This window comes from Homo sapiens, chromosome 2 (assembly GCF_000001405.40).
Source record: "Homo sapiens chromosome 2, GRCh38.p14 Primary Assembly".
Classification (NCBI taxonomy): domain Eukaryota; kingdom Metazoa; phylum Chordata; class Mammalia; order Primates; family Hominidae; genus Homo; species Homo sapiens.
In genome coordinates, this window is record NC_000002.12 from 31,505,743 (window position 1) to 31,511,742 (window position 6,000).

Sequence of the window (6,000 nt, forward strand, 5' to 3'; positions counted from 1 at the left end):
CCATATTAAAGCCTGAGAAAAAAGGAAAACTAAGTAATACTAACTTTGTCCTCTTTTTGGAAACTCAAAACACATATTAGTATATTAGGGGCTTTGAAAAGTACTGCAAAAAGTTCTATTCAACTCTTTAGTACTACATATCCCAAATGCATTTAACCACACATTTTTGCAGGCAAAATCTTTAGAATATTTTTCAGGACAAGCTAATATATTTTACTATTTTTTGACTGATAAAGAAACCAAGGCATTGAGAGTCAGCAAGATCTTTCTAGTTAACTAGGAATAAATAAATGAAAAATGTTGTGAGAGTATCAGTTCTTTTCTTGTATAAATAAGTGTGGTATAATGAATAGCTTTTAACCTTTAATTATTTTTTACAAACCTTAGGTAACTATAATTACAAATTAATTGAGAACTGTCTATAAATATGATTGCATAAATTGTAAGGAATTGTGTTAAATCTGTGCTGACTTCAAGGTAAAAAACAATACCCTTCACTGTATGGGAAATGAGCATCTAAAAAACTGACCTTGCTGCCAACAGGAGTTATAAGATCTGGACAAAATACAAAAACATCTACACGAGACTCTGGAGACTGAACAAAAGCAAGCAGTTTTTGGAGGAGAGCTAAAGCTACAGCAAGGAACACCATGGAACACAATGAGTTTTCACTTCATGTGGCTTTCCTCTGAAGGTAATAACTAGAAGACGAATCAATAAGAAGAATCTGAACAACAGGAAAAAAGTGAACAGAGCCTCACTGATCTATGGAACAACTTCAAAAGATCTAGCATATGTGGAAATGTAGTCAATAAAGGAAAGGAGAAAAATAATAGGACAGTAAACATATTTCAAGAAATCATAGCCAAAAATTTCCGAAATCTGGTTAATGACTTAAATTTACAGATTAAACCAATTCCATGAATCTCAAACAGGATAAATTTGAAAGAATCATACTTAGGCACATCGTGGTCAAACAGCTGAAAACCAAAGATAGAGAGAAAATTATGACATCACCCCAAGAAAATGACCCACTATATTCAACACTATTTGAATAATCATGGCTTCTCATCAGAAACAAAGGAAGCATACAGTAAAATAATATCTTTAAAGCATTAGTAGAAAAAACAAACCTATTAACTAAGAATTTCATGTTCTGCAAAAATGTCTTTTAAGAATGAAGCTGATATAAAGATATTTTCAAATAATGAAAAACTAAGGGTATTCATTGCCACCAGACTTGTACCACAAGAAATGTTATACTGAGTTTTGTAGGCTGAAGGGAAATGATACCACAGGAAAATTCAGAAAAGAATAAACATAACGATATTTATAAAAGACTATTTCTTCTCTCAATTTATTTATAATACAGACGACTGTTTAGAGACAAACTTTTAGCATTGCCTTATAGAATTTACAATGTATATATATCTAATACATATAGTAACCATAATATAGAGAATGGTAGAGGCATAAATGAATAGACCTAAATAATTGCAAGGATTATATATTTTAAATAAAGTGGTATAAGACTAACTTTAAATTACTAACTCTAAGTTAACTTACCCTATGAAAGGCTAACCATAGTACATCAACTAGAAAGATTACACCAAGAAATATTGCTAAAAATCTAATACAGAACATTAAAATTGAATGGTAAAATACATATATAATGCAAAAGAAGGCAGAAAGAGAATAGCAAAAGAAAAATGGGCAAAGAGAACAACCAAATAAATAATAAATTGGTAGGACTAAATCCAATCATGTCAGTAATTTCATTAAATGCTAATGTACTAAGCATGCCAAAGATTATCAGAATGGATTATTTTAAAGGCAAGATTAAATTTATGTTGTCTACAAGAAACATGTTTTAAATATGAAGACATAGACTAAATATAAAGATGGACAGTAAATAGAAGAAAAAAGAAATACCATGTAAATAGCTTAAGAAGATTAAAATTGATATATTAAAATCAGATAAAACAGACTATCAGATAAAGAGTAAAAATTACAGTATTATCAAAGATAAAGAGAGCCCTTCATAATGATAACATTATCTATTGGGGCCTTTTTAGCTCAAGTAATTGGTAAGATTTAATAATCAAAAATGTGTATACACATAATAATAGAGCTTCAAAATACAAGAAGTGAAAATTGATACAACTAAGGCAAAATAAACAATAAAAAAATTATAGTAGGAAAATTTAACACCCTTCTCTCAGGAATTGATAGAACAACTAGACAAAAAAAATCAACAAAATGTGATATCTCATTGTACTTTTGATTTGCAATTTTCTGGTGATTAGTGGTGTTCAGTATCTTTTCAGATATTTTTTGGCCACTTTTATGTCTTCTTTGGAAAAATGTTTAAGTCCTTTGTCCATTATTTAATGGGGTTATTTGTTCTTTTGCTATTGAGTTATATGAGTTCCTTATATATTTTGGATATTAACTCCTTATTAGATAAATAGCTTGTAATTATTTTCTTCCATTATGTCAGTTGTCTTTTCATTTTGCCAAGTCCAAAAAATCATTGCCGAGATGGAAACAGAAAAACAACAGAGAAAAATCAATGAAACAAAAAGCTGGTCTTAGAAGAGATCAATAAAATTGATGACCCTGTAGCAAGATTGACCAAGGGAGAAAAAAAGAAAACACAGACATCAAAAGAAAAATAGGAGGATATAACAGACAATTCTATGTCCAAAAATTTGATAATTTACATAATTATTTCAATGTCTTGAAAGATATAAACTACCAGAACTCACTGAAGAAGAAATAAATAACTCAGATAATACTATATTTATTTTAAATTGGATTTGCAATTAAAAACCTTCCAAAAAAGAAAACTACAGGCCTAGATTGTTTCACTGGTGAATTCTACAAAACATTTAAGGAAGAAATAATATTAATTGTATACCATCTCTTTAAGAAAACAGGAGAGAGACAACTTCTTAACTAATTTTATGTGGCCAGCATTACCTTAATACTCAAACTAGACAAAGACATTACTAGAAAACAAAACTATAGACCAATATCCCTCATGAACATAAATGCAAAAATTCTCAAAAAAAATTAAGAAATCAAATCCAGCAATAACTACATATAATAATATATCATAACCAATAGGGGTTTATACAAGGTTTGGTTCAATATTCCAAAATCAATCAATGTAAGTCACAATATTAACAGACTAAAGAAGAAAAACCATATGATTATGTCAATAGATACACAAAAATATTTGGTAAAATTCAACATCTGTTTATCATAAAAAAAAAAAACTTTCAGGAATCTAAAAAAATAAGGAGACTTCCATACTGATAGATGGCATATCACACACACACACACACACATACACACAACATACAACAAACAACAACTATAGCTATTAACGTTGAAAAGCTAAGTGCTTTTCTCCTAACCTTAGAAACAAGGTAATGATGCCCCCTATCACCACTCCTATTCAATATTTTACAAAAACTCCAGCCAATGTAACAAGATTTTTTTTAAAAGATGATTGAAAATAAATAAAACTCCCTCTGAAACATTATTTTTCCTCTAAAACATTCCAAAAATCAATTTTCAAAAGGTTCATAGAACTAATAAGTGAGTTTGTCAGGGTTGCAGGATACACAATCAAGGTACAAAGATCAATTGCATTTCTATAGGCTAGCACAGAATTCCAAAAATATAGAGTTCAAAATTTACAAAACAGTCCCAATTACAATAACATACAAAAAATGAACTAGTTAGGTGTCAATCCTACAAAATATGTATAGAATTTGTATGCAGAAAACTACAACACATTGATAAAAGAAAACAAGATCTAAATAAATGGAGAGACATATGATGTTCATGGAATGGAAGATTTAATCTTGATAAGATGCCAATTCTCCCCAGATTGAGCAATAGTTACAATGCAATACAAATCAAAATCTCAAAGATCTATTTCATAGATAATAAGGAGCTAAATCTAAAACTTACATGGAAAGACAAAGGAATTAATACAGCCAGAACAGTTTTGAAAAAGAAAAAGTTGGACCACCCACACTACTTAATATCAAAACTCGTAAGTTTAAAGTTATCAATATATTGTGGTATTCGTAAAAAATATACACATACAGATCAGTCATATAAAATAAAAAATGCAGAAATAGATTCTACAAATATAGTCAACAGATTTTTGGCAAATGTGCAAAAGCAAACCAATACAGAAGAGTTCCTCTTTTCAACAAATGATGTTGAAGCAATTGGGTAGTCATCAGGAAAAATACAAGAACAGAAAGTTAACCTCAATCTGTATCTTACATGTTACACAAACATTAACTCAAAATGCGCCATAGAATAAAATTAAAAAGTGTATCTATAAAGCATCTAAAAGAAAACAAATAAGAAAATCTTTATAACCTTGAGTTAAGCAAAGAGTTATTTAGCTATAACACCAGACGTATGATCCATAAAAGAAATAAATTAATAAATTAGACTCCATTTAAATTAAAATTTTTTACCTGTTAAAAACACTCTTACACGAATGAAAAGACAAGGCACAGGCTGGTAGAAAATATTTTCAATAGATACATTTGACTGAACACTTGTATTCAAAATATGTAAATAGCTCTCAAAACTCAACAGTAGATTCAGCTCAGTGGCTCAGGCCCTTAATCTCAGCAGTTTGGGAGGTTGAGATGGGAGGATCTCTTGAGCCCAGTTTAAGACCAGGCTGGGCAACATAGTGAGACCCTTGTCTCTACAAAAATGGTTAAAATTAGCCAGGTGTGGTGGTGAACACCTGTAGTCCCAGCTACTCAAGAGGCTGAGGTGAGAGGATTTCTTGAGCCCAGGAGATTGAGGTTGCAGTAATCCATGATTGTGCCACTGCACTCCAACCTGAGACCCTGTCAAAACAAACAAACAAAAAATCTCAGCAATAAGAAAACGACACAATTTTTTTAAATGAGGAAAGATCTAGACACTTCACTAATGAGGAAATATGGATGGCAAATAAGCATACGAGAAGATGCCCAACATCATTACACATTAAGGAAATGCAAATTTAAGACAAAAAATTACTACTACATACCTATTAGGGTTGCTAAAGAAAAAGGCAATATCAAGTGCTTGTGAATATGCAGAACAATTGGAACTCTCATACATTGTTGACTGAAATGGAAAATTATGCAGGTACTTTGGAAAAACTGGTTGGCAGTTTCTTAGAAACATATGCATACCTAATCCAGCAATCTCACTTCTATGTGTTTACCCAAGAAATTTATTTATTTATCCATGAAATGTATGTTTGCTAAAAATCTATACACAAATATTCATAGAAGCTTTATTTATAATTGTCAAAAACTAGAAACAACTCAAGTATCCGTCAACATGTGAAAGAATAAATAAAATGTGGTACACTTTGAGATACTTAATGCAGTATTACTTAGAAAAACAGGGAATAAACTACTGATACAATCAATTACATGAATTAATCTTATAATTTTTACAGTGAGTGAAGGAATCCACATATAATAGAGTGCATACTTAAGATTCCATTTAGGTAAAATGCAAACTAATACAAGAGGGAGTTGAAAAGTTTGTGAACAGAATTGAATGAAAAGATAAAATAGAAAATGTGAACTTTATTTCTCAACATAAGTTCCATCAAAGTCATGACACATTTTTTTGTGATGGTATCAGACATTTAGTTCATCCCTAAAGAACTGAAAGTCCTGGGAATTTAAACAATGTCAATACTGTGTTTTGTTTTGTTTTAACACTGTTAGCTGAAGAAAAATGGGTATCCTTTACAGACTTTTTTAAGATTAGGAAACAAAAAGAAGTCAGGAGCCAAATCAGGACTGTAAGCCTAACAATTTCCCATCAAAACTCTTGCAAAATTGTCCTTGTTGGATGAGAAGAATGAGCAAGAGCATTGTCATGATGAAGGACTCTCTGGTGAAGCTTTCCTGGGTGTCCTTCTGCCAAAGCTTTGGCTAACTTTCTCAA